General features: G+C 52.5%; 1 protein-coding gene, 1 long non-coding RNA gene and 1 pseudogene across 4 annotated transcripts in view, besides 5 other annotated features; 2 read left to right on the top strand and 1 right to left on the bottom strand.

The window, feature by feature from the left end:
• The first annotated feature begins 1,492 nt into the window (after positions 1-1,492).
• LAMB2P1 (laminin subunit beta 2 pseudogene 1) lies at positions 1,493-3,035 on the top strand (annotated as a pseudogene). Its single transcript, NR_004405.1, has one exon. The product of NR_004405.1 is annotated as a laminin subunit beta 2 pseudogene 1 (transcript).
• An 11,560-nt stretch (positions 3,036-14,595) lies between these two features.
• LOC124909377 (uncharacterized) lies at positions 14,596-23,026 on the bottom strand. The gene is made up of 2 exons (XR_007095905.1): positions 22,275-23,026; positions 14,596-15,614 (listed from the first exon to the last, which is right to left on the bottom strand). It is a non-coding gene; the product is annotated as an uncharacterized LOC124909377 (long non-coding RNA).
• Positions 19,364-19,658: a silencer, noted in NCBI's record as "tiled region #3170; K562 Repressive non-DNase unmatched - State 23:Low". NCBI's record gives its function as "represses a minimal TATA promoter and a strong SV40 promoter by Sharpr-MPRA in K562 cells {active_cell/tissue: K562}" and the evidence as "EXISTENCE:reporter gene assay evidence [ECO:0000049][PMID:27701403]".
• Positions 21,191-21,404: a transcriptional cis regulatory region, noted in NCBI's record as "candidate enhancer chr3.2093 targeted for multiplex CRISPR interference". NCBI's record gives its function as "positively regulates PFKFB4 gene expression with high confidence in K562 cells {active_cell/tissue: K562}" and the evidence as "EXISTENCE:mutant phenotype evidence [ECO:0000015][PMID:30612741]".
• Positions 21,938-22,753: an enhancer, noted in NCBI's record as "H3K27ac hESC enhancer chr3:49170574-49171389 (GRCh37/hg19 assembly coordinates)". NCBI's record gives its function as "activates a minimal SCP1, AML or CMV promoter by ChIP-STARR-seq in naive H9 embryonic stem cells {active_cell/tissue: H9 hESC(naive)}" and the evidence as "EXISTENCE:reporter gene assay evidence [ECO:0000049][PMID:30033119]".
• Positions 22,844-27,480, top strand: part of LAMB2 (laminin subunit beta 2) — an 11,937-nt gene continuing 7,300 nt past the window's right edge. The window contains exons 1-16 of one of the 2 annotated variants that reach the window (XM_005265127.5): positions 22,844-22,939; positions 23,026-23,102; positions 23,231-23,403; positions 23,489-23,624; positions 23,705-23,778; positions 24,171-24,359; positions 24,452-24,515; positions 24,742-24,944; positions 25,034-25,154; positions 25,475-25,663; positions 25,876-26,055; positions 26,178-26,290; positions 26,570-26,649; positions 26,742-26,874; positions 27,075-27,233; positions 27,309-27,436. In XM_005265127.5, the coding sequence (XP_005265184.1) occupies positions 23,027-23,102; positions 23,231-23,403; positions 23,489-23,624; positions 23,705-23,778; positions 24,171-24,359; positions 24,452-24,515; positions 24,742-24,944; positions 25,034-25,154; positions 25,475-25,663; positions 25,876-26,055; positions 26,178-26,290; positions 26,570-26,649; positions 26,742-26,874; positions 27,075-27,233; positions 27,309-27,436 (2,018 nt within the window). In that variant the 5' untranslated portion in view covers positions 22,844-22,939; position 23,026. Of the gene's footprint in view, positions 23,103-23,230; positions 23,404-23,488; positions 23,625-23,704; positions 23,779-24,170; positions 24,360-24,451; positions 24,516-24,741; positions 24,945-25,033; positions 25,155-25,474; positions 25,664-25,875; positions 26,056-26,177; positions 26,291-26,569; positions 26,650-26,741; positions 26,875-27,074; positions 27,234-27,308; positions 27,437-27,480 lie in introns of both variants that reach the window. The other variant, NM_002292.4, reaches the window with a different exon arrangement.
• Positions 23,571-24,386: an enhancer, noted in NCBI's record as "H3K27ac-H3K4me1 hESC enhancer chr3:49168941-49169756 (GRCh37/hg19 assembly coordinates)". NCBI's record gives its function as "activates a minimal SCP1, AML or CMV promoter by ChIP-STARR-seq in naive H9 embryonic stem cells {active_cell/tissue: H9 hESC(naive)}" and the evidence as "EXISTENCE:reporter gene assay evidence [ECO:0000049][PMID:30033119]".
• Positions 26,915-27,480: part of an enhancer, noted in NCBI's record as "H3K4me1 hESC enhancer chr3:49165495-49166412 (GRCh37/hg19 assembly coordinates)", that runs on past the window's edge. NCBI's record gives its function as "activates a minimal SCP1, AML or CMV promoter by ChIP-STARR-seq in primed H9 embryonic stem cells {active_cell/tissue: H9 hESC(primed)}" and the evidence as "EXISTENCE:reporter gene assay evidence [ECO:0000049][PMID:30033119]".

The following is a 27,480-nucleotide window of genomic DNA, read 5'->3' as shown; positions in this document are numbered from 1 at the left end:
TTTGTATTTTTTTGTGGAGACAGGGTTTCACCATGTTGTCCAGGCTGGTCTTGAATTCCTGAACTCAAGCTAGCGCCCACCTTGGCTCCCAAAGTTCTGGAATTATAGGCGTGAGCTACAGTGCTCGACCATGTTTTACAATTACTTTTTTTAAAAAGTAGAAGGAAAGCTGGGCATAGTGGTACATGCTTGTAGTCTCAGCTACTCAAGAGGCTGAGATGGGAGGATTGCTTGGGTCTGGGAATTCCAGTCCAGCCTGGGCAACATAGAACTTTTCTCTAAAAAAAAAATAAACATTGGCCGGGCACAGTGGCTGACACCTGTAATCCTAGCACTTTAGGAGGCCGAGCGGGCGGATCACCTGAGGTCATGAGTTCAAGACCAACCTGGCCAACATGGCGAAATCCCGTCTCTACTAAAAATATAAAAATTAGCCAGGCGTGGTGGTGCACACCTGTAATCCCAGCTACTCGGGAGATTGAAGCACGAGAATCACTTGAACCTGGGAGGTGGAGGTTGCAGTGAGCTGAGATCGCCCCTCTGCACTCCAGCCTGGGCGATGGAGCTACACTCCATCTGAAAAATGTTTTTAAAAAGATTAAAAAAAAAAAACTAGAAGACACACACTCTAAAATAATGATAAAAAGTATGGCATAGTAAATGCATAAACAAGTAGTAGTCATTTATTATCATGAAGTATTATACACTGAACATAATTTTTTTTTTTTTGAGACAGGGTCTCACTCTGTTGCCCAGGTTGGAGTGTAGTGGCATGATCTTGGCTCACTGCAACCTCCGTCCCCCAGGTTCAAGTGATTCCCCTGCCTCAGCCTCCAGAGTAGCTGGGATTACAGGCACCCGCCACCATGCCTGGCTGATTTTTTGTATTTGTTTAGTAGAGACGGGGTTTCGCCATGTTGGCTAGGCTAGTCTCGAACTCCTGACCTCAGGTGATCCACCTGCCTTGGTCTCCCAAAGTGCTAGGATTACAGCTGTGAGCCACTGTGCCCAGCCTACTGTACATAATTGTATGTGCTGTACTTTTATATGACTAGCAATGCAGTAGGTTTGTTTACACAGTATCATCACAAACGTGAGTAACGTATTGTGCTACATACAACATTATGACAGCCACCATGTCACTAGACAATATGAATTTTTCCTCTCCATTGTAATCTGATGGGTGCACGATTGTAGTACCTATGTGGTTTAGCTGAATGATAGTAGATTTTTAGTTTGGACTATGGGATGACAAGCAGAATCCTTTACTGCATTAGGGAAGCAGGTTTCAGATACCTGATGATACCATGGTGGGGTGTCCAGGAAGTAGTGGGATGTGCAGGTCTCAGTTCAGGAGTAAAATCAGGATTGGAGAAAGGGGATCCTCACTACAGAAGTGGAATTATCACCATGGGGAAGGCTGTGGTCATCTTAAGACAGCATTCCCAGGGAAGCAGGGATGACAGAACCCCATAGCATGAGGGCAGGAGGAGTGGATACAAGGATGTGGAGAGGGGAAAGACTCCCCCATTCCTTTCCCTCCTCCCTCGTCATAGAAAGTGAGGACCAAGGCACCCAAGGTCTGACCATCTGTGTCTCCAGAGCTCCTGCATGTGACTAACCTCTGTGTAAACTTCTCCAAACTGCACACCCTGGGTGACAGGCCCCTGGGAGGCCTCAAGGGACACCCCTTCTACTACTATGCCTTCTATGAGCTTGTAGCCAAAGGCAGTTGCCTGTGCCTTGGGCACACCTCTAAGTGCAGGTCTGCACCTGGAACCCCAGCCAATGTGGTGAGGACAATGGGAGGGGCATTCTGTTGCTGGTGGGGTGGGCAAGCTGGGACTCCAGAGCAGGCCTGCCTTGCCCTCCTCCCTATCAGGTACATGGGCTTTGCATCTGTCCCCACCAGTCGGTGCACACTGTGAGTGCTGCCAAGACCTGCACCAGGATCATCCATGACATGCAGCAGAGCCTGGGCACCCCCATGCCTGCTGGGATGAATGCCATGCTCTACTCTGCCTGGCCATACCTGCCACAGGTCCGCCCACCCCATATCTACCTTTCTGGTTCTGCCTCAGAATGTGAGTGCCATGGGCATGTCTACAGTTGTCACTTTGACACAGCTGTGTGTCTGGTTATGTGAGTGGAGGTGTGTGTGATGTGTGTCAGCACAACACAGCTGGGCGCCACTGTGAGTTCTGCTGGCCCTTCTTCTACTGTCATCCCTGAGAGGATCCCTGTTCCCCTCGGTCCTGCAGACATGAGTCCTTCAACCCCTAATCCCAACACTGACTCTTATCCTTCAGCTCCATGGTGACCTCTGACCTAATTCCATCCTTAACCTCTGACCTCTGATCTAGCCTGTGACTGTGACCCTGTGGGTGTCTGGAAGGGGATTTGTGTGATGCTCACATTAATGAGATCCATGGCCTCCTCTCTGGGCAGTGTTGCTGCAAAGTGTGTGTATGGGGTCAGCACTGTGACTCCTACTGGCCTGGTCACTATGGCCTGAGCTCCACCCAACCTCAGAGCTGCCAGTGTGAGTGACACTCAGGGTGGGCCCCCGCCTCCATGTCCTCCTGGCTCTGCCCCCAGTTACTGCCCTGATAACACACGCACCTACCCACCTCACTGCAGTTCCATTAGCAAGCTAAGAGCCCTAAGCCTTCGCCTGCAGGTGTGACCCCAGGGTTCAGGTCCCTGGTACTCATGTCTGTTATCCCTCCAGTGGTACCTGTCACTGCAAATGCTTTGTCTCTGGGCAGGACGGTAGCCATTGTCTGGTGAGGCTTGGCCCACCTTCTGATTTAACCTTGACCTTTGGCACTGAGCTTCTTGGAGCTATAGCCTTATAATGAGTATAAGGCTATAGTTATCATGACTGTGGACTGAGCCTTGTACTTGGGTGGGTGCCGCTCACTGACTTGGTCACCAGGGTCAGCATCACTTTGGCTAGCTGAACCTGTATATGCCCTCAGGTGGGAGTTTCGGAAACAAAAGGGAAATTGATTAAACTTGTATTATACACTGGATTTAAAGGCTTTTGTCTTTGTTTTTGTTTTTGAGACAGAGTCTTGTCTTGCTCTGTCACCCAGGCTGGAGTGCAGTGGTGCAACCTCGGCTCGCTGCAACCTCCACCTCCCGAGTTCAAGCGATTCTCATGCCTTAGCCTCCTGTGTAGCTGGAATTACAGGCACACACCACCACACCTGGCTAATTTTTGTATTTTTAGTAGAGGCGAAGTTTTACCATGTCAGCCACGCTGGTCTCCAACTCCTGACCTCAAATGATCTGCCCGCCTTGGTCTCCCAAAGTGCTGGGATTACTCGTGTGAGCCACCACACCCGGCCAAAGGTGTTTTTTTGTTTTGTTTTGTTTTGTTTTGTTTTTTTTCCAGCAAACTTGTTTAGAGGAAGACTTAGTCCAAGGAATAACTCCATCCTCTCTTTGCCTCGAATGTTACAAACTCTTTGCTTAACTTTTTTTTTTTTTTTGAGATGGAGTCTCACTCTGTCACCCAGGCTGGAGTGCAGTGGCGCAATCTCAGCTCACTGCAACCTCTGCCTCCTGGGTTCAAGTGATTCTCCTGCCTCAGCCTCTCGAGTAGCTGGGATTACAGGCAACCGCAACCACGCCCGGCTAATTTTTTTTTTTTTTTAAGTAGAGACGGGGTTTCACCATCTTGGCCAGGCTGGTCTCGAACTCCTGACCTCGTGATCCACCCACCTTAACCTCCCAAAACGCTAGGATTACAGGCGTGCGCCACTGTGCCCGGCCTCTTGGCTTAACTTTTATTTAACCCTGGTTGTGTCCTCATCTCCTTCTTATGTCTCTCTGTGAAGTTACTCAGGAGTGCACCATGATCTTCTCTCTCACTTTCAGATGCAGTCAGAGGAACATTCAGGCCCTTTCTCACCCCTTTTCCCACCATAGGCAGACCCAATATAAGACTTATCAGGCCCCTCCCCTCCTCTTCCTGTCCAGATCTTCTTGCCTTCCCCAACCCAACTACAGTCTCCTACAGCCTGAGTTCTAGGGTCTGGGCAGTGACCCCGCCCCCACCCAGGCTGCTGGCCCTGTGACTTTAACTTTGCAGATGCTACAGTAACAGGTACAGGGCGGGGCCTGGAATTCATGGTCAAATGGCAAGAATCAAGACTTCACCCTGACCCCTCCTCACCTCTGTGCTCCCTCAGGTATTCTGCAGTGGTGAGTCTCTGCATATCCCACCCCCACCTCTGTGGCTGCCACTGCCATGAGCACTAATCTGGGTATTTCTTTTTCTTTTTTTTTCTTTTTTTTTAATTTGAGACAGCGTCTTGCTGTGTCGCCCAGGCAGGGTGGCATGCAATGACACAAACTCAGCTCACTGCAACCTCCGCCTCCCGGGTTCAAGCGATTCTCCTGCCTCAGTCTCCCGAGTAGCTGAGATTACAAGCATGCACCACCACACCTGGCGAATTTTTGTATTTTTAGTAGAGACGAAGTTTCACCATATTGGCTAGGCTGGTCTCGAACTCCTGACCTCAGGTGATCCGCCCACCTTGGCCTCTCAAAGTGCTGGGATTATAGGCGTGCCACATGGCGCCTGGTCTAATCTGGGTATTTCTGTGCTGCCCTTGGCCACAGCTGAAGCCAAACTTGGCCAGGTTCTCCAGCAAGTATAAGTATCAGGAGGGTCAGAAGCAGAAAGAAATCAAAGCTCAGACACTGGGGCTCACTGGAAGAAGTGAACGTCCAGATAACTATTTGGAGGAAGAGTCTGAGCAGGGTTGGAAAGACTTGGAAATCCAGGTATGGGTGTCAGCATGGTCAAAAGTTCAGTGTCTTGGACAGAGGCCATATTATTCCCAGGACAGTATGGGAAAGGACTAGGACTCCCACTTCCTTCGAGGGAGCCCCCTGGCCTGCTCCTTTCCACTGTACAGAAGCCCCAGGGACTGCCTCTGACTGGCTTCAGCCCCGACTTCAGAGATAGCATCACGCTGTTTTTTGTTTTGTTTTGTTTGTTTGTTTGTTTGTTTTGAGATGGAATTTCACTCTTGTCGTCCAGGCTGGAGTGCAATGGCATGATCTTGGCTCATTGCAACCTGTGCCTCCTGGGTTCAAGCTATTTTCCTGCCTCAGCCTCCCAAATCACTGGGATTACAGGTGCCTGCCACCACACGTGACTAGTTTTTGTATTTTTAGTAGATACGGGGTTTCACCTTGTTGGCCAGGCTGGTCTCGAACTCCTGACCTCAGGTGATCTGCCCGCCTTGGCTTTCCAAAGTGCTGGGATTACAGGCATGAGCCACCACACCTGGATGATAGCATGACCCTTGATGTGCCCTCCACCCTGTCTGGCAAGACCATTACAGGCACCAGCTGCCCAAAGTGAGGAGTCTGGGGAACAAGATGAAGTCACAGGTCACTAGGATCTTAAGAGGGATAAGGGCCTGGGAATACAGATCCTTGGGTTCTTGAGGGAATGGGAGTCTAAGCCCTGAGGGTCGTAGGTCCTGGAATGGGAAGTCTGTGTCTCACATGCAGGCCCCAGAAAAGCCCTTTCCCCTGCATGGGCAGCTGGTCCTGTATTTTGGACTGGCTTGACTTTGCCCATGTGGTCAGTGAGGGTTGCCCTTCTCTCCTGGTGCCCATTGGTGCCTCATGCCCTGTAGTATGACATTGTCCTGCTCTATGAAACCTAGGTCAGTGGTGTGGATGTCAGGAGTGTGGATGGGTGGTGGTAGGGATGGATAGGAGTGGCTCTGTGACTGCTGACCCCTAACCCCAGGAACCTGAAGACTGTCAGGCATTAGTCAGTGTCTGTGCCCAATTCCTGCCCAGCAGCACCCACTGTGCCCATCTGCTGCCCTCAGAGCAGCTGTTTCAGGTGGCCCTGCTTCGTGCACACAGCTAGGCAAGACCCTGTGACCCCCAACCCTGTCACTCCCAATACCAGGACCCCATTATGCTGCCCACACATTTGAAACACACCAAACCGTCAGTATGGCATATCATCATGTCGTAAAACAAGCAAAACAGGTACTTAGTTTAACAATAAAGCAGGATTTAAGAAGTTGGTCTTTTTCCATTCATGATGAAATGTTGGGCTCACTAAGTGCACAATAGAAATGAGGCATCCCAGCTGGGCACAGTGGCTCATGCCTGTAATCTCAGCACTTTGGGAGGACAAGGTGGGCGGATCACCTGAGGTCAGAAGTTCCATACCAGCCTGGCCAACATGGTGAAACCCTGTTTCTTTTTTTTTTTTCTCTTTGAGACAGAGTTTCGCTCTTTTTGCCCAGGCTGGAGTGCAATGGCACGATCTTGGCTCACTGCAACCTCCGCATCCTGGGTTCAAGCAATTCTCCTGCCTCAGCCTCCCCAGTAGCTGGGATTACAGGTGCCCGCCACCACGCCCGGCTAATTTTTTGTATTTTTAGTAGAGACGGGGTTTCACCATGTTGGCCAGGATGGTCTCGATCTCCTGACCTCATGATCCGCCTGCCTCGACCTCCCAAAGTGCTGGGATTACAGGCGTGAGCCACCGCGCCCTGCTTTTTTTTTTTTTTTTTTTTTTGAGATAGAGTTTCTCTCTTGTTGCCCAGGCTGGAGTGCAATGGTGGGATCTCAGCTCACCGCAACCTCCGCCTCCCGGGTTCAAGCAGTTCTCCTGCGTTAGCCTCCTGAGTAGCTGGGATTACAGGTACGTGCCACCACACCCAGCTAATTTTGTATTTTTAGTAGAGATGGGGTTTCTCCCTGTTGGTCAGGTTGGTCTCCAACTCTCATCATCAGGTGATCTGCCCGCCTCAGCCTCCCAAAGTGCTGGGATTACAGGTGTGAGCCACAGCGCGTGGCTTTTTTTTTTTTTTTTTTTGAGACTTTGAGACGGAGTCTCACTTTGTCACCAGGCTGGAGTGCAGTGGCACGATCTCGGCTCATTGCAACCTCCACTTCCTGGGTTCAAGCGATTCTCCTGCCTCAGCCTACCAAGTAGGTGGGACTACAGGCGCGTACCACCATGCCCAGCTAATTTTTGTATTTTTAGTAGAGACGGGGTTTCACTATGTTGGCCAGGATGGTCTCGATCTCTTGACATTGTGATTGTCCCGCCTCAGCCTCCCAAAGTGCTGGGATTACAGGCATGAACCACCGCACCCGGCCGAAACCCCATTTCTACTAAAAATACAAAAATTAGCCTGGCGTGGTGGCACACACCTGTACTCCCAGCTACTCGGGAGGCTGAGGTGGGACTGAGCCGAGATCGCGCCACTGCACTCCAGACTGGACGACAGAGCGAGCCTCCATCAAAAAAAAAGAAGAAGAAAAAGGAAAGAAAGAAAGGACGGAGGGAGGGAGGAAGGAAGGAAGGAACGAAGGAAGGAAGGAAGGAAAGAAGGAAGGAAGGAAGGAAGCATGGAGGCATCTCTGGGACCACATGATCATTGCAGCATCACCTCACCTCTTCTCCTCTCCCCATTCACTGCAGGGTTGTGGTTCTATACAGACTTTCTGCTTTGATCCAGGAACATGCTGCTACTCCACGACACAGGCTATGGCAGACCAAGAGGGAGTGTGGAGGACTGAGGGAAGCTTCATCCATCTGCATTCAGTGATGTCCTAGGGGCTGCACCCTACATCTGGCAGAGACATAATTTTTTTTTTTTTTTTTTGAGAGGGAGTCTCGTTCTTGTCACCCAGGCTGGAGTGCAATGGAGCAATCTTAGCTCACTGCAACCTCCGCCTCCCAGGTTCAAGCAGTTCTGCCTCAGCTTCCTGAGTAGCTGGGATTACAGGTGCCCACTGCCACACCCGGCTAATTTTTTTTTTTTTTTTTTTTTGAGACGGAGTCTTACTCTTTTGCCCAGGCCTGAGTGCAGTGGCGCTGTCTCGGCTCACTGCAAGCTCCGCCTCCTGGGTTCACGCCATTCTCCTGCCTCAGCTTCCCGAGTGGCTGGGACTACAGGCGCCCGCCACCATGCCTGGCTAATTTTTTGTATTTTTAGTAGAGACGGGGTTTCACTGTGTTAGCCGGGATGGTCTCGATCTCCTGACCTCGTGATCCGCCCGCCTCGGCTTCCCAAAGTGCTAGGATTACAGGTGTGAGCCACTGCGCCTGGCCTTTTTAAAATTTTTTTATATATTTATTTATTTTTTGAGATGGAGTTTCTCTCTTGTTGCCCAGGCTGGAGTGCAGTGATGTGATCTCTGCTCACTGCAACCTCTGCCTCCCAGGTTCTAGCGATTCTCCTGCCTCAGCCTCCTGAGTAGCTGGGACTACAGGCGCATGCTACCATACCTGGCTAATTTTTTTTTTTTTTTTTTTTTTAGTAGAGGTGGGGTTTCACCATGTTAGCCAGGATGGTCTCAATCTCCTGACCTTGTGATCCGCCCAACTCGGCCTCCCAAAATGCTGGGATTACAGGCTTGAGCCACCGCACCTGGCTACCCGGCTAATTTTTGTATTTTTAGTAGAGTTGGGGTTTCACCATATTGGCCAGGCTGGTCACGAACTCCTGACCTCAGGTGATCTGACCACCTTGGCCTCCCAAAGTGCTGGGATTATAGGTGTGAGCCACTGCGCCTGGCTCAGAGACATAAATTTTATTTTATTTATTTTAATTTTTTTGAGATGGAGTCTCACTCTGTTGCCCAGGCTGGAGTGCAGTGGCGCAATCTTGGCTCACTGCAAGCTCCGCTTCCTGGGTTCATGCCATTCTCCTGCCTCAGCCTCCTGAGTAGTAGCTGGGACTACAGGCGCCCGCCACCATGCTTGGCTAATTTTTTTGTATTTTTAGTAGAGACGGGGTTTGACTGTGTTAGCCAGGATGATCTCCATCTCCTGATCTCATGGTCCGCCCACCTCGGCCTCCAAAAGTGCTGGGATTACAGGCATGAGCCACTGTGCCTGGCCAATTTTATTTTTTTATTTTATTTTATTTTATTATTATTATTATTTTTTGAGATGGAGTCTTGCTCTGTCACCCAGGCTGGAGTGCAGTGGCGCTATCTTGGCTCACTGCAAGCTCCGCCTCCCACGTTCACACCATTCTCCTTCCTCAGCCTCCCAAGTAGCTGGGACTACAGGTGCCTGCCACTGCGCCCAGCTAATTTTTTGTTTTTGTATTTTTAGTAGAGATGGGGTTTCACCGTGTTAGCCAGGATGGTCTCGATCTCCTGACCTCATGATCCACCCGCCTCGGCTTCCCAAAGTGCTGGGATTACAGGCGTGAGCCACCACGCCTGGCCTATTTTATTTTATTTTATTTTATTTTATTTTATTTTATTTTATTTTATTTTTTGAGATGGAGTTTTGCTCTTGTCACCCAGGTTGGAGTACAGTGGCACAATGTTGACTCACTGCAACCTCTGCCTCCCAGGTTCAAGCGATTCTCTTGCCTCAGCCTCCTCAGTAGCTGGGATCACAGGTGCTGGCCACCTTGTCTGGCTAGTTTTGTTTTATTTTATTTTATTTTATTTTTGTGTTTTTAGTAGAGAGAGGGTCTCACCACATTGGCCAGGCTGGTCTTGAACTCCTGACCTCAGGTGATCTGCACGCCTCGGCCTCCCAAAGTCCTGGGATTACAGGCATGAGCCACCTGCACCCGGCCTCTTTGTTTGTTTATTTACTTATTTATTTTGAGACAGAGTTTCGCTCTTGTTGCCCAGGCTGTAGTGCAATGGCACGATCTCGGCTCACTGCAACCTCTGCCTCCTGGGTTCAAGCGATTCTTCTGCTGCAGCCTTTGGAGTAGCCGGGATTATAGGCGCCTGCCACCATGCCCAGCTAATTTTTTTTTGTATTTTTAGTAGAGACGGGATTTCACCATGTTGGCCAGACTGGTGTTGAATTCCTGACCTCAGGTGATCCACCTGCCTCGCCCTCCCAAAGTGCTGAGATTACAGGCGTGAACCACTGCGCCCAGTCTCTGAGACATAAATTATAGCAAGACAGGATTGGTGCAGTGAGGCTGGGAGGCAGGGGATCATAGAGGCCTGGAGTTGCAGCAAGAGGATTAAGACCTACATAGATGGAGAGTGTAGGCAGAGGAGCCCAGGCAGGGGAAACAGCTCATGCAAAAGACAGAAGATAAGAATAGGCAAGTGCCAGATCTCATAGGACCTTTTGGGCCAGGAGAGGGGCTTAACCTTTATCCCAGGGGAAGTGGGGAACCATGGAAGAGATTTAAGCAGGGAAGAGATGTGGGGAGAATTTATTGTTTGGTGGAAGGCCCAGATGCAAGCTCCCGAAATGATTCTGAGTGAGAGATGGCATTCTCTCTACTAGATTGGGGCCACTGGAGATGGAGGAAAAATTGACTCAAAACAGATTAGGGGTTCAAGGGGCCGGGCATGGTGGCTCACGCCTGTAATCCCAGCACTTTGGGAGGCCGAGGTGGGATCACCTGAGGTCAAAAGTTTGAGAGAAGCCTGGTGAACATGGTGAAACCCCGTCTGTACTAAAAATACAAAAATTAGCTGGGCGTGGTGGCGGGTGTCTGTAATCCCAGCACTTTGGGAGGCCGAGTTGGGCGGATCACAAGGTCAGGAGATTGAGGCCATCCTGGCTAACATGGCGAAACCCCACCTCTACCAAAAAAAAAAAAAAAAAATTAGCCAGGTATGGTAGCATGCACCTGTAGTCCCAGATACTTGGGAGGCTGAGGCAGGAGAATTGCTTGAACCTGGGAGGTAGAGGTTACAGTGAGCCAAGATCACAGCATTACACTCCAGCCTGGACAACTAGAGCAAAACTCTGTCTCAAAAAAAAAAAAAAAAAAAAGAGAGAGATTAGGAAACAGAAGGGGGGCTGAGGGGTGGGGGTAGGGATGTCCCCCTTGGATGAGGGCCAATCCAAGAAAGGTGGCAAGTAAGTGTTAATGAGTGGGGCTGATTGCCTCTTGCTGGCTTCCCTTGACCCTCTTGCTAGCTTGTGCACCTGCCATGGGTGAACACGTTGCCTGGGCTGGGGTCTTTGTACCCTGGGGCCTCAGGCATTTACAGGAGTTCCACCAGGCAGGCTCATGGAGGCAGCAAGGCCAGGCCTCTCCAGCACGATGCCTGAAGCCTGTGCCTGCCTGTTCTGCAGCATCTCAGCTCTGCTCCATGGGGATGGGCCTCAGTGAGTGTATGTGCCAGGCTTGAAGTGGCTTCAGGGTAGGGGTTGCAGGAGCACCATGAGGTTCATCTAATCTTTCCCTTCCTCTGCCAGCATGTGTGCCATCTGCAAGGTTCACTGAGCACTGAGTGGGGCCTGCTATGTGGGCAGTATCCCTGCCATCTTCATATCATTGGTCATACTTGTGACCACTGTGTGCCTGGAAAGCAGGCTTTGGGCCTCTGGCTGCAGTGATGAGCCTTCAGGGCCTGTAGGCATGAGGTTGGGGGCCAGCTGTCTCCTGTCCTTGCATGGCTTGATTGCTTTGTCATTCTCCACAGAGTGCCACTGATATGCTGAAGGTACCACCAGTGCCATCTATAACCCTGTGTATGGGCAGTGCATGTTCCAGGAAGGACTTGCTGGTTGCTGCCGTGACTACTGCCTCCCTGGCTACTGAAGCTTTTGGCAGTGCCAGCCCTGTGCCTGCAATGGGCATGCTGAGTTGTGCCACCCCCTTATATGTATCTGCCAGGCCTGCCAGGCTGGCACTGTAAAAGGTGAGCACTGTCATTGGATGGGTTGAACAGGCCCCATACCATGTGCTACTGCCCCCAGGTGCTTGGATGGCTACTATGGAGACCCCACTCTAGGCTTGGGCCAGCGGTGCTGGCTCTGCCTTTGTCCTGGGCACCCCAATTCCAGCCTCTATCATGGGAGTTCCTGCCATGTGGACAGCATGAGTGGGCATATCCTAGTCTTCTGTTTACCTGGCTATGCAGGTGAGGCATGGTTGGCAGTGACAAAGCCACAGCCCTGGTCAATTGTTCACAATCCCATCAGGTCCACATGACAAATCTTCCCAATGCCACCTGTATGCTGAGCTGGGCACCATCTTCAAGGAGTTCCTGTTCTGAGGAAGGAGGGCTGAATGGGGGGAATTATAGGTATAGACCTTGAAAGCCAGGAAGATGGGCTATAATATACCTATTGTGTCCCTCCTGGCCAGACCTCAGACTTTCTGGCTGCATATCTGAGACCCACAGGCCCCCAGGGTACAGGAAGACACATATACCCCAGTCCTCTCCAGGCCTCAGCTGTGACCACTGCTTCTGTGGCTATTTTGGGCACCTGGCCAGGAGGATACCCCAGAAGAGTCCATACCGGTCTGCCAGTGTGGCAATATCAATCTCCATGATCCTGCTGCCTGTGACCCCCACAGTGGGCACTGCCAGCATTCTGTGCACCACAGCCATGTCCCTGCCTATGCCCACGGCAAGCCTGGCTTCCGCAGCAGTGACCTGTGTTGCGGGAAGTCAGGGACCCCAAATGGAGGGACCGGCTGAAGCCATGGCAGAAGAACGTGGATTGTGAAGATTTCATGGACATTTATTAGTTCCCCAAATTAATACTTTTATAATTTCTTATGCCTGTCTTTACTGCAATCTGTAAACATAAATTGTGAAGATTTCATGGACACTTATCACTTTCCCAATCAATACCCTTGTGATTTCCTATGCCTGTCTTTACTTTAATATCTTAATCCTGTCATCTCGTAAACTGAGGAGGATGTATGTCGCCTCAGGACCCTGTGATGATTGCATTAACTGCACAAATTGTAGAGCATGTGTGTTTGAACAATATGAAATCTGGGCACCTTGAAAAAAGAACAGGATAACAGCAATGTTCAGGGAACAAGAGAGATAACCTTAAACTCTGACCGCTGGTGAGCCAGGCGGAACAGAGCTGTATTTCTCTTCTTTCAAAAGCAAATGGGAGAAATATCGCTGAATTCTTTTTCTCAGCAAGGAACATCCCTGAGAAAGAGAATGCGCCTCTGAGAGTAGGCCTCTAAAATGGCCCCCTTGGGTGTGGCCATCTTCTGTGGTCGAAACTGTAGAGATGAAATAAGCCCCAGTCTCCCATAGCGCTCCCAGGCTTATTAGGATGAGGAAATTCCCGCCTAATAAATTTTGGTCAGACAGGTTGCTCTCAAACCCTGTCTCCTGATAAGATGTTATCAGTGACAATGGTGCCCGAAACTTCATTAGCAATTTTAATTTTGCCCCAGTCCTGTGGTCCTGTGATCTCGCCCTGCCTCCATTTGCCTTGTGATATTCTATCACCTTGTGAAGCATGTGATCTCTGTGACCCACACCCTATTCATACACTCCCTCCCCTTTTGAAAATCACTAATAAAAACTTGCTGGTTTCACGGCTCAGAGGGCATCATGGAACCTACCGACATGTGATGTCTCCCCCAGACGCCCAGTTTTAAAATTTATCTCTTTTGTACTCTGTCCCTTTATTTCTCAACCTGGCCGATGCTTAGGGAAAACAGAAAAGAACCTGTGTGACTATTGGGGGCAGGTTCCCCTATAGACCTGGGCTCAGAGGGCTGCCAGCATGAGTTTGTGGGTGGGGACATCCCAGGGTGACCGGGTAGGATTTTCACTCCCCAGATTGGCCAAGCCTTCCTCTCCCCAGGCTACAGTTGTGACCCTTGAGACAATGTCCTCATGTGGTGCCCATCTGAGGCTGAAGCCTGTGCTGCCCCCGCACTCTGGGGCAAGACTGCAGCCACTGTGCCCCCCTCTTCTGGAACCTGGGAGACCCCTGGGGCTGTGAACTCTGTGGCTTTCATGCTCAATACACTTTGCAATCAATGTGCCACCCAGTGAGTAAGCCCATATTGTACATAGCATGTGGTCATAGCCAGGTGTGAGTGAACTTGCACTTGCCTATGACACAATGTGACTTATGGCTGCTGTGAGTGAATGTGACCACCAGCACCAGTACTGGTACATGGGGCTGCAAACAGCTGTGTGAGTCTCTGCTCTCATGTGGCGTTAACTATAAGGTGGTGTCAGGGTGTGGGGGAGTATGGACACGAGGCTGCATGTCCCCAGTCCCACATGCAGCCATGCACTAATTTGTGAGTGAACCACTGTGAGTAGGTCATGGCAAGCAGAGTGAGCGTGATGAGGGGTGGAGACAAGAGTGGGGCTGGAAGGAGAAGGAGACTGAGGAGGTACAGGTGGAGGGTTAGGATTGAGATCTGGTGCAGGCAGAGAGAGATGGCCATGGGAAGCAAGCGTTTCTGGGAGGAAAGTGGTCAGAGACTGAATGAGATGAAGCTTGAAGTGTGTTCCTGTGTCCTTGGCAAGGAGAGGGGTGGGAGTCAGACTCAGGGAGTGAGTGAGGCATAGGAGGAGGGGCATGGAAACAGTGGGTATGCAACTCAGGACATGGGGAAACTAAGGGCAACAGATCAGGAGATGAGAACTAGTGGGTCCATGGGAAGCAAGGGCTGGCAATGTGGGAAGGTGCAGATTGGCCAAGGCAGCAGGCCAGAGTATCAAGGGAACCAACCCCCAATATTTCAACATAGATTCTTTCTATTTTCCCTAAGTGTCAGCAGGTCTAAGAAATAAAGAGAAAGAGTACAAAGAAAAATTTTACAGCTGGGCCTCCGGGAGTATCATCACACATTGGTAGGACCGTGATGGTGACCCCAAGCCACAAAACCAGCAAGTTTTTATTAGGGATTTTAAAAGGGGAGGGGGTGTACAAACAGGGAGTAGGTCACAAGGATCACATACTTCAAAGAACAATAAAGATCACAAGGCAAAGGCAAAATTAGAATTACTGATGAGGGTCTATGTCCCATTGTACACAGATTGTCTTGATAAACATCTTAACAGGAAACAAGGTTTGAGAGCAGACAACCGGTCTGACTAGAATTTACCAGGCTGGAATTTCCCAATCCTAGTAAGCCTGAGGGTACTGCAGGAGACCAGGGCATATTTCAGTCCTTATCTCAACCACATAAGACACAAACTCCCAGAGTGGCCGTCTATAGACCTTCCCCCAGGAATGCATTCCTTCCCTAGGGTATCAATTATTAATATTCCTTGCTGGGAAAATAATTCAGCGATATTTCTCCTACTCGCACATCCATTTATAGGCTCCCTGAAAGAAGAAAAATATGGCTCTATTCTGCCCGACCCTGCAGGCAGTCAGACCTTATGGTTATCTTCCCTTGTTCCCTGAAAATTGCTGATATTCTGTTCTTTTTCAGGGTGCACTGATTTCATATTGTTCGAACACACATATTTTACAATCAGATTTCATATTGTTCAAACACACAAGTTCTACAATCAATTTGTACAATAGTGGTCCTGAGGTGATGTATATTCTCGGCTTATGAAGATAACAGGATTAAGAGATTAAAGACAGGCATAAGAAATTATAAGAGTATTATTGGGGAAATAATAAATGTCCATGAAATCTTCACAATTTATGTTCAGAGATTGCAATAAAGACAGGCATAAGAAATTATAAAAGTATTAATTTGGGGAACTGATAAATGTCCATGAAATCTTCACAATTTATGTTCTTCTGCCTCGGCTCCAGCCGGTCCCTCCAGTCAGGGTCCCTGACTTCTCACAACACCAGAGAAAGCAGGAAGGGAGAGGCTCTCAGCCAAATGCAAGTGTGGGTGCTGCCTTGGGCAGGAACACAGCTGGGAGGAAATACAAGTATGTGTGTGCCATGCATGTCTAAGCACTCAAGTCCTTTTCCCTCTCCCAGAGAAGGGTCTTTGGCCCTGCTGACCAGGCTATGCTTTCTTCCTTCAGGTCACAGGTCAGTGCCCCTGCTGGGCAGCGTCTGGGAGCTGCAAATGCTCCCAGTTGCAGAATGGGTATTGGGGTGACCCTGAGCAGGAGTGCAGAGGTGAGAGGGGCACTTGCACATTCCACAGCCAGGGGTGAGGCTGCCCTGCAGGGGCTGCTCAATATGGAGTAGCAAGGGAGTGTTTGGGGTTTTCCTGAGGGAGAACACAGCACGTTTATTGCTGTTTCCCCAAAGAACTTAAAGAAATACTTGTGAAAACAGCTGAAGGGAAACAGCAAGGCTAGGCGAGGGATGCCTATAGAGAGGACACATCAGGTGGCTCTTTCCTCACCCTGCCTGCCAGCCCTTGACTCTGGTTGACCCCTGACAGGGCTGTAGAGCCCCTGGAACCCTGTGCTGTTTTCCTGCCCAAATACTGCCATGCAGTATGGCCTCTCTGTCCAGGGTAAATGCCAGTGCCCATGGCAGTTCTGAGCAGTGGCTTAGGCAAGGGTTGGTGTGCACCCTCACACCTACACAGGGCCATTCTCATCCTTCAGTATTTTTTTTTTTTTTTGAGACGGAGTCTCGCTCTGTCGCCCAGGTTGGAGTGCAGTGGTGAGATCTCAGCTCACTGCAAGCTCCGCCTCCCAGGTTCATGCCATTCTCCTGCCTCAGCCTCCTGAGTAGCTGGGACTACAGGTGCCCGCCACCACGCCCGGCTAATTTTGTTTTTGTATTTTTAATAGAGACGGGATTTCACCATGTTAGCCAGGATGGTCTCAATCTCCTAACCTCGTGATCTGCCCGCCTCAGCCTCCCAAAGTGCTGGGATTACAGGCGTGAGCCACCGTGCTCAGCCCCTTCAGACATTTTTTTTTGAGACGGGCTCTCACTCTGTCACCCAAGCTGGAGTGCAGTGGCACAATCTTGGCTCATTGCAGTCTCAACCTTCCAGGCTCAAGGGATCCTCCCGCCTTATCTCCTGAGGAGCTGGGACCACAGGTGTGCCCCACCATGTCCAGCTAATTTTTGTATTTTTTGTAGAGATGGGGTTTTTCCATGTTGCCCAGGCTGGTCTTGAACTCCTGAGCTCAAGTGATCCACCCACCTTAGCCTCCCACAGACCTATTATTTTTTCAGAAATAGGGTCTCATGGGTCAGGCACAGTGGCTCACGCCTGTAATCCCAACACTTTGGGAGGCCGAGGCGGGTAGATCATGAGGTCAGGAGTTTAAGACCAGCCTAGCCAATATGGTGAAACCCCGTCTCTACTAAAAATACAAAAAAAAAAAAATTAGCCAGGCATGTTGGCGGTTGCCTGTAGTCACAGCTGCTCAGGAGGCTGAGGCAGGAGAATTGCTTGAACCTGGGAGGTGAAGGTTGCAGTGAGACGAGATCGCACCACTACACTTACAGAGCGAGACTCTGTCTCACAAAAAAAAAAAAAGGAAAAGAAATAGGGTCTCACTCTGTCACCTGGGCTGGAGTACAGTGGCATGATCTTAGCTCACTACAGCCTCAACCTCCCAGGTTCAAGTGATCCTCCCACCTCATCCTGCTGAGTAGCTGAGACTACAGCACACGCCGCCACACCTGGCTAATTTTTAAATTTTTTTGTAGAGACAGGATCTCCCTATGTTGCTCAGGCTGGTCTCAAACTCCTGAGCTCAAGTGATCCTCCTGCCTCAGCCTCCCAAAGTGGTGGGGTTACAGGTGTGAGTCACTGCACCTGGCCCATCCTTCAGGTCTCTCGAAGGTAAGGCTAGAGCTAGTGTCATCTGCTCTCTACCCTGACCCTATCTCTCCTCTGCAGCCTGTGCCTGTGACCCACAGGGCTCCATCTTGCCCAGCTGTGATTCACACATGGGCACCTGCTTCTTCAGAGAGGGCATCTTAGGGCTGAGGTGCCAGGCATGTGCTCATGGCTCCAGAGGTGCCTTCCCACACTGCACCTCCTGTCCCACCTGCTTCACCTTCTGAGACCAACTCCTGGCTCTGCTCCCACTGCAGCTGGAAGCTGTGGCCCAAGAGGTGGCCACCCTATGCTAGGGGATGCCTGGTGGGGGTGTTAGGGGCCAGGGTGGACACCTGCAGGTCCTAGATTGGGTACTGTAGCAGGCACAGGCTGCTCCCTCCAACCTGGGACCCTGCCCACTGTTCAGTGGGCTCTTGTTGCCTTCCACAACTCCTCCCATAGCCTGGACATAGAGTCACAGCCTTGGAGCAGCATCAACAACAGGTACACAGCCAGGGGGACTGTGGGTGGGAGCCATGGGGGAGTCACAGGAAACCATGGCTTGGACATGGTGTTGTAGGCAACATATTCCACATCTGACCCACGCCCACCAGCTGCAGCAAATCCAGGCCATAGCAAGCTCCACAGGAATCCAGGCACAGGAGACATGGTATTGGGAAAGGGGACCTTGGGGCATGACTGCCATGACCCACATGCAAGCAGCCGTGCAGATCATCCAGCGCTTCCTCATGGGTACATATCTGCTTGTTGCATGTCTGTTCACAGCCAAGGGCAGGGTTAATAGGGTATGCAGGACACTATCATGATACTCCTTCCAGAATGAGGAATATTCATCAGGGCTGACCAGGGGTCAAGTGGGAACACTAGTGTGTGCGTAAATTTTTTTTTTTTTTTTGAGAGGGAGTCTTGCTCTGTCACCCAGGCTGGAGTGCAGTGGTGCAATCTCGGCTCACTGCAACCTGCGCCCCCCGGGTTCAAGCGATTCTCCCACCTCAGCCTCCCAAGTAGCTGGGATTACAGGCACACTGTAATTTTTTTTTGTATTTTTAGTAGAGACGGGGTTTCACCATCTTGGCCAGGCTGGTCTTGAACTCCTGACCTCATGATCCACCCGCCTTCGCCTCCCAAAGTGCTGGGATTACAGGCGTGAGCCACCGCATCTGGCCATGTGTGTAGATAAATTTTTAACAACTGGCTGTGAGTCAGGGGAAACTGATTTTTAGCATTTGTCAATATCCATGATGTAAGTAATGCTATCATGATTGATTTCAGTCCATACCATTTGACAACTTATTTGCAAAATTCCTGAAAATTTAACAATTGGCTCTTTTTATTTTAGTATTATTATTATTATTTTTGAGAGGGAGAGTCTCGCTCTGTCACCCAGGCTGGAGTGCAGTGGCGTGATCTCGGCTCACCACAACCGCCACCTCCTGGGTTCAAGCGATTCTCCTGCCTCAGCCTTCTGAGTAGCTGGGATTACAGGCACCCGCCACCACATCCAGCTAATTTTTGTTATTTTTAGTAGAGATGAGTTTTCACTACATTGGCCAGGCTGGTCTCAAACTCCTGACCTTGTAATCTGCCTGCCTTGGCCTCCCAAAGTGCTGGGATTACCCTTTTTTTATTATCATTTTATTTTTTATTTTTTTTAGAGACAGAGTCTCGCTCTGTCACCCAGGCTAGAGTGCAGTGGTGTGATCTTGGCTCACTGCAAGCTCCGCCTCCCGGGTTCAAGCAATTCTCCTGCCTCAGCCTCCTGAGTAGCTGGGAGTACAGGCACATGCCACCATGCCTGGCTAATTTTTTGTATTTTAGTAGAGATGGGTTTTCACCGTGTTGCTCAGGCTGGTCTCGAACTCCTGAGCTCAGGCAATCTGCCTGCTTCGGCCTCCCAAAGTGCTGGGATTACAGGCGTGAGCCACTGCGCCCGGCCAACAATTGCCTCTTGTAAGCCTCCAGCACACCACTGGATAGTTGTGTCTAAGGCAGGATCAGTGAGAGGCTAGGGTCAGGGTTTGTTGGCTCAGAGTTCAGGGTTCAGGCCTAAGATCCCTACCCTCTTCCCCACAGACAAAGGTGTGGACACCACAAGTGTGGAGCTGGCTGTCAGTGCCCCTTCCCCAAGGTGGGGGCAGTAGGCATTGCTCTTCTGCTGGGTCAGATCCAGGGTGCTCTCCCTGTACCGGATGCCATGGGCCAGAAGCTGCCCAAAGCTGAAGGCATCCTCCATCAGGCAGAGTGAACCAGGTGAAGGGCCAGGAGGCTGGAGGTGGAAGTCAGAGGGTGGCCAGAAAAGGGATGCCTAACTGAACACCTGTGTTCTTCAAGGAGGGTACAACCTGGGCCCAGCACCAAGCACTGGATGTTCAGGGGGTGCTGGCTGAGGGGGGAATGGAACTCATGCAGGGGCCGCAGAGCAAGGGCTACAGGAAGTGAAGCTGGCACTTGAAGGCCTGGAGGGCACTGTACAGGAGGTGATACCCTACTTGTACCCTCAGCTCCTTTACATCCCTTGTTCAATGACTGCTGTGATTTCCATTCTCCCTGAGATCCTTGACTCACTATGATACCACAGTGCTACCAAGTACCTTGACCGTGATAACACTCAGCCTAGTTGCTACTGTGCTGTGTCCTCTCTGTGACCCCCTAACCTTTGCCCCAGGTAGTAGGGCGCCTGGCCCAGATGGCACTGGCAGTTGAGGTGACCCCAGTCCCAGGGCGTCTGTCCAGTGTAGCTAAGGTGCTCAGGGCATGTTTTGTCCTGAGTCAGCAGCAGGCCCAGGAGGCAGAAGAATGGGCAGCATGAGTCGTAGGCAGGGCTGAGGGCCTGGGCAAGATGAAATGGGGAAGAGTGGGCACTGGGGTCTCAGGGACCCCTCTGGAACAGTGGAAAGTGGGGTTTGGGCTGGGGCTGGGCTATACTGGACTGAGGCGGGATCTCAGTTCTAAATTCTCCTTTTCTCCAGGAACCTTAGGCAGTAATATATTTGAGGCAATATATTCTGGGTGGGGTGGGGATTCAGGTCCAGCCCTGCCCTAGGAGTTGTAGGTGGCCCCTTTGGCTGTGGCCGAGCTGCAGGAGGACACATATGGCCTGGTAGCCACTGTGCAGGATGCAAAAGAATGGGTGCAGCAGGCTTGAGCTGAGGCCCAGGAGCTCCTGAAGAAGGCATAAAGCAGCTTCAGCTGCCTGCATGGTGCATGGCTGGCCTGCAATAGGGCAGGCACAGGGAACGGCTTAGGGTCAGATGGAAAGGTCAGGGCCAGAATAGGGATGTTGTGGAAGGGTTAAGGCTGGGTCCAGATCAGATCTTGACTCATGTAGGGATCAGGGCTAGGGTCAAGGTTTAGACCAGGGATCAAGTGTTGATTAGGTTCAGGGTTTATTTAAGGTTAGGGCTGGGTCAGGGTCAGGGTTGTGATAGAGACTGGGACCAGGATCAGAGGTTAGAGCCAGGGGTCAGAGCCTGGCTCAGATGACCTGACCCCAGGGTTGGAGTGCCGCCTGACACAGAATGCACAGGCACTGGGCAAGAAGGCAGCCACCCTGCAGGCCCTGGAGCAGCAGGCAGCTGAGCTGCTTGGGCACATGATGTGCTTTGCCACCAATAAGTATGCCACCTGCTAATTACTGTCTATGGAAGCCATTAAGAAGGACTGTGGGATCACCTGGGTAACTCAAAGTGGCCCTAGAGTGATCCAGGAATCTCCTGGCCTTGGGAGACCAAAGATCCTACTGAGTGCCCACTGACCCTGAGTGACCCCCCCATGTGGCCCCACGATGTCCCCCAGTGGCCCTCTGACCTTGAGAAAGCAGACAGATCATGTAACTCCCTGAGGCCATCTAGTGTCCCAGACCTTGATACACCTTTATCTCTGAGTGATCTAAAACTGTGAGACTACAGTGCTGGCATTCTCCACTCAAAATAAATAGATGGGGCCTGGCACTATTTACTGGCTCATGCCTGTAATCCCAGCGCTTTCGGAGGCAGAGGCGGGAGGATCACCTGAGATCAGGAGTTCAAGACCAGCCAAGCCAACATGGTGAAACCCCATGTCTACTAAAAATAGAAACATTAGCTGGGCGTGGTGGTGGGCGCCTGTAATCCTAGCTACTTGGGAAGCTGAGGCAGGAGAATCGCTTGAACCTGGGAGGCAGAGGTTGCAGTAAGCGGAGATCTCGCCACTGCACTCCAGCCTGGGTGACAGAGCGACACTCTGTCTCAAAAAAAAAAAAAAAATTAAAATTCTCAGTAATTTCTAGTATCCCTGATCCCCCAGGTTGACTACATGATCCTCAGGGTGACTGGAGACCTCTACTCCGGATATCCAGAATAACTCCCAGCGATGCCTAAAGTCCAACGGATTGACTGACCCCCACCCAACCCTCACCCAACCCCCACCCCCGCCGCCCCCATGCTCCTTTGTGAAGTGGGGTGATTCCCCTGAGGAACTATCATCAGCTTTCTTCCCTGGATGGCAGCTCAGGGCACTCCCTGCCGGGACTGTGGAGGCGGCAGGCCAGACCCAGCCCTAAAGACCGGAGGACCCCATGTTTCCCCCAGCTTCCCGTTCCCAGGGCCCTGGGTGGGGCGCGCCCCATATCCCCCACCCACTTTCCTCCTTCTCTCCCCCTCCACGCCGCCGCGCACATTCCAACCCCAGGCTCCTGCGATCCCGGCAGGCCAAAAAGTCTGGAGCGGATAAATAGCCACAAGATCCGGAGTCGCTCGCCGTAGCTCTGGTCCACCACCCAGAGCCTATTTCCATACAGGGAAACCCGCAGCACTTCTCGTGCCTACTTACCGTAGTGACTAGTGGGGGAGGCAGTGACCCCCCTGGAGCTGTGCTTCGGGCTGGGTGTGCACTTTCCCCATCTCTCCCCCAGCCCCATTCTGTCCAGTCCCTAGGACTACCCGAGAGCCCCCCACAGCCCTGAATAGGGGCATGTGTTGCTCCTGCTTGTGCCCTCCAGCCTCTCTGTTGATGCTGGAGCCCTGGGATCAAACGGCTGAGTTGATGGTAATTTCCACGGCGCCCATGACGCTGAGGGGAAAAGGCTACGGTCTCCTTGGTCCAGAGTTGGAGATCCCGAAGATCTCTCATTTGCTCCTGCCATGCCCCCAACTTCGTGAGCCCTCTTCCAAGGATAGTTTAAAGCACCAAACCCCTTACCTTCCCCTGGCCCTCGTATAGGTGTGGGCTTGGGGGCACAATAAAGATTTGTGGGTGAAGTGGTCTGTCTCTGGTTCCTGGGGCGAAGGCAGTTTCCGGAGGGAAGGGGTAGGGTTGGGGTGGGGGCGCTCTCCGCCCGGTGTTGCGCTCCTTCCCAGAATCCGCTCCGGCCTTTCCTTCCTGCCGCGATTCCCAACTTTGCTCAAAGTCGCTGGACTCTAAGCTGTCGGAGGGACCGCTGGACAGACCTGGGAACTGACAGAGGGCCTGGAGGGAAACAGGCCAAAGACCCACAGGCAGAGTTGACACGGAACCCCAAAGCAAGGAGGAGGGCTCGGGCCCGAGACCGTTCACCTCCCCTTATCCCTGTTCCCCTCTTCAGGATGGAGCTGACCTCAAGGGAAAGAGGGAGGGGACAGCCTCTGCCCTGGGAACTTCGACTGGGCCTACTGCTAAGCGGTGAGAGGGCCTGGTGGGGGCTGGGGGTTGTGGAATGTGATGGTAGGTCCTGGTAGTTGCCCTTGGGGCACATGAGGTGGAGCCACTGGATAGGAACTCAGCGGAACTGACTGAGCTACTGTCCCCAGTGCTGGCTGCCACACTGGCACAGGCCCCTGCCCCGGATGTGCCTGGCTGTTCCAGGGGAAGCTGCTACCCCGCCACGGGCGACCTGCTGGTGGGCCGAGCTGACAGACTGACTGCCTCATCCACTTGTGGCCTGAATGGCCCCCAGCCCTACTGCATCGTCAGTCACCTGCAGGTGTGGCTGGGGACAGGGTGTGACGCCGAGTCAGGGTGGGGCTGGCACTGCCTGAGGCACTGATTCTAATCCCCATCCAACCCAGGACGAAAAGAAGTGCTTCCTTTGTGACTCCCGGCGCCCCTTCTCTGCTAGAGACAACCCACACAGCCATCGCATCCAGAATGTAGTCACCAGCTTTGCACCACAGCGGCGGGCAGCCTGGTGGCAGTCAGAGAATGGTGAGGCCATGGGTGGGGCAAAAGTGAGCAGGGCTGCCCACCAGTAGCTTTGAGTCCTTGACTTCCGATTCCTGTCCCAGGTATCCCTGCGGTCACCATCCAGCTGGACCTGGAGGCTGAGTTTCATTTCACACACCTCATTATGACCTTCAAGGTGCCTGCATATCTGGGAGCCTGCCCGAATCACCCTGCTTGGCTCTCCATTGCCCCTGGACAGAGCCTCAGCTCCTTAACACAGCCTCCTTGAGCATGGATGCAGGAGGCTCCTTCATCCCTTCACACCTTCCATTTGCCTCCAGGCCTTTGCACATGCTCTTCTGCCTTTCCAATCCCAGGCTGGGTCAGGCGCTGTCTCCCTGAGCCCCATGAACCCTGAGTCTCCCCATTAGAGGTGGCTACCTTTGCTGGTCATTATCTGGCTTCCACCAGTCACCCCCACTCTCTGTGAGCTATTTGAGGGCAGTCTTGGGCTGAGCAGGGCTCTTGATGGCTCTGGGTTGGGCTTGGGTCCTGGTGCCTGCTGATCAGCTATGCCCCCCTACCCAGACATTTCGCCCTGCTGCCATGCTGGTGGAACGCTCAGCAGACTTTGGCCGCACCTGGCATGTGTACCGATATTTCTCCTATGACTGTGGGGCTGACTTCCCAGGAGTCCCACTAGCACCCCCACGGCACTGGGATGATGTAGTCTGTGAGTCCCGCTACTCAGAGATTGAGCCATCCACTGAAGGCGAGGTGAGGGCTGGCATCTGGGCTGGGGGCTGGAAGCTGGGGATGATGGGCCTGAGGCAAGGTCCAGTGTGACTATGAACTCCCTGCTTCTCCAGGTCATCTATCGTGTGCTGGACCCTGCCATCCCTATCCCAGACCCCTACAGCTCACGGATTCAGAGTGAGTGCTCCACCCTTTGAGTCTGGCACAGTCCGTGTCCGGCTAGGGACTATTTGGGGCCTCAGTAACTATTTTGGGTGCTTCCTAGGGCAGGTGCCAAGCCCAGTTTAGCTCGGGTGGCAGTGTATAGGAGGTCTTTCAAGGTGACCTTGGCAGCTGAGCCCCTGGGTGGACATGGGGCAGCAAGGGCCTGCCTGGTCAGTTGGCCCCCCTTCCCCCGCCTCAGACCTGTTGAAGATCACCAACCTACGGGTGAACCTGACTCGTCTACACACGTTGGGAGACAACCTACTCGACCCACGGAGGGAGATCCGAGAGAAGTACTACTATGCCCTCTATGAGCTGGTTGTACGTGGCAACTGCTTCTGCTACGGACACGCCTCAGAGTGTGCACCCGCCCCAGGGGCACCAGCCCATGCTGAGGGCATGGTAAGGGGCTTCAGACGGTTGGGATAGGGCTAGGGGCAGGGGCGGACATGGCTGAGCAGTGCTGACAACCTACCTGCCAACCTCTATAGGTGCACGGAGCTTGCATCTGCAAACACAACACACGTGGCCTCAACTGCGAGCAGTGTCAGGATTTCTATCGTGACCTGCCCTGGCGTCCGGCTGAGGACGGCCATAGTCATGCCTGTAGGAGTGAGTGAGATCTTGGCCTCCATAGCTCCAGCACTCTGCAGCCTGGCTGTGCCCTGGGTAGAACCTAGAGCTAGTTGGTCAAGCCCCTAAAACCCAGGCTGTATCCAAAGAGTATGCAGACCTTGATGCCCCTTGGGACCCCCTCAATCCTCCTCTGCAGTCTGCTCTGGGTAGGGAACCAGTATGATGCTGAGGCCTTGAAGTCCCTGAGCCCCTACCCACAAATTCTGGCCTGTGATAGGGATCTAAGGTGGCCTACTTCTTACCCTTGTGACCTGGTTCCTCATGTGGCCTTTGCCCTGCCCTTCCTCCCCTGCCAGAGTGTGAGTGCCATGGGCACACCCACAGCTGCCACTTCGACATGGCCGTATACCTGGCATCTGGCAATGTGAGTGGAGGTGTGTGTGATGGATGTCAGCATAACACAGCTGGGCGCCACTGTGAGCTCTGTCGGCCCTTCTTCTACCGTGACCCAACCAAGGACCTGCGGGATCCGGCTGTGTGCCGCTGTGAGGCTGGGATTGGGCACGGGGAGAGAAAGCTGAGCCTGGGGCAGGAACTAGAGAGCTGGACTGCTGTCTAAATTGCAGGAAATTGGGGTTAGGGGCTTGGGATAGAACTTGACCAGGGATCCAGGGTGGGATCCCTTAGGCTTAGGAGAGGACTGGCAGTGAGCTAGTTGAGATAGGGTGAGTGACCCTGTATCTCTTTTTGCCGTCAGCCTGTGATTGTGACCCCATGGGTTCTCAAGACGGTGGTCGCTGTGATTCCCATGATGACCCTGCACTGGGACTGGTCTCCGGCCAGTGTCGCTGCAAAGAACATGTGGTGGGCACTCGCTGCCAGCAATGCCGTGATGGCTTCTTTGGGCTCAGCATCAGTGACCGTCTGGGCTGCCGGCGTATGTGTCTCCTGCCCTAACTTCTATGCTGACCTTTAACCCCTGTCCTCTTACTCCTGACTCAGCTGAACATGAGCACTGCCACAGTTTCCCAAAGTGCTGATGGTTCTCCTTCCCTGCAGGATGTCAATGTAATGCACGGGGCACAGTGCCTGGGAGCACTCCTTGTGACCCCAACAGTGGATCCTGTTACTGCAAACGTCTAGTGACTGGACGTGGATGTGACCGCTGCCTGGTGCGACTGGAAGGGGCTGGAGTTCTAGGGGCATGATTTGTCCTTAGAGCACAGGGCTGGGGTGTCACATCTATGCCAGTGGGTGGGTGCTGAGAGCTTAGGATCCAGTCCTGGCTGAGAAGCCTCAGGTCTGGGAGGCCAAGGATGTGGGCCAGTGGTCTGGGGGGCATGTTTTCACTGAGGGGTGATTGAGGCTAAGACGTGTGGTTGGGATTTCCTGCTGGGTGGTGATGGGGTCTGGAGGTCTGTTTCTGGCCCCCAGCAACTCCTTTCGTGCAGCCTGGCCACTGGGGCCTGAGCCACGACCTGCTCGGCTGCCGCCCCTGTGACTGCGACGTGGGTGGTGCTTTGGATCCCCAGTAAGTGTTGTAAAGGGGGCCTGGGAAGGGATGGGGAAAGATCCTGAGCAGAAGAGAAGGTTCTTCTTGAGTAACCACAGAGTTCCCTCCAGGTGTGATGAGGGCACAGGTCAATGCCACTGCCGCCAGCACATGGTTGGGCGACGCTGTGAGCAGGTGCAACCTGGCTACTTCCGGCCCTTCCTGGACCACCTAATTTGGGAGGCTGAGGACACCCGAGGGCAGGTGTGGGGCCTCCCCCTAAGCAGAGGGCTGGATGTGGGTGGACACGTCTATGACTGGAGAGGTGGGGTTATGGGCAGTACCTTGTTGAGGGGATAGGGGTGATATCTAGCTTTGGCAGGAGAAATGGGGTTTGGGGCTGGCTGTGGCAGAAGAGGCAAAGCCTCACCTGAGCCTCCATCCCTGGCTGCATTATCTCCCAGGTGCTCGATGTGGTGGAGCGCCTGGTGACCCCCGGGGAAACTCCATCCTGGACTGGCTCAGGCTTCGTGCGGCTACAGGAAGGTCAGACCCTGGAGTTCCTGGTGGCCTCTGTGCCGAAGGCTATGGACTATGACCTGCTGCTGCGCTTAGAGCCCCAGGTTAGACCCTGTTATCTAATCTGGGGCTGAACCTCTGGGTGTGGGAGCATCTCCTCCATCATCCCGTTTTCCCAGGTCCCTGAGCAATGGGCAGAGTTGGAACTGATTGTGCAGCGTCCAGGGCCTGTGCCTGCCCACAGCCTGTGTGGGCATTTGGTGCCCAAGGATGATCGCATCCAAGGGACTCTGCAACCACATGCCAGGTGAGGGCACTGGTGGTAGCACTCACAATGGCAGGGGGTTGTGG

The sequence above is a fragment of the Homo sapiens genome, chromosome 3 (genome assembly GCF_000001405.40).
Source record: "Homo sapiens chromosome 3, GRCh38.p14 Primary Assembly".
Classification (NCBI taxonomy): Eukaryota; Metazoa; Chordata; class Mammalia; order Primates; family Hominidae; genus Homo; species Homo sapiens.
The sequence above is the reverse complement of the archived record's forward strand: the minus strand, read 5'-3'. Positions and strand labels throughout refer to the sequence as shown.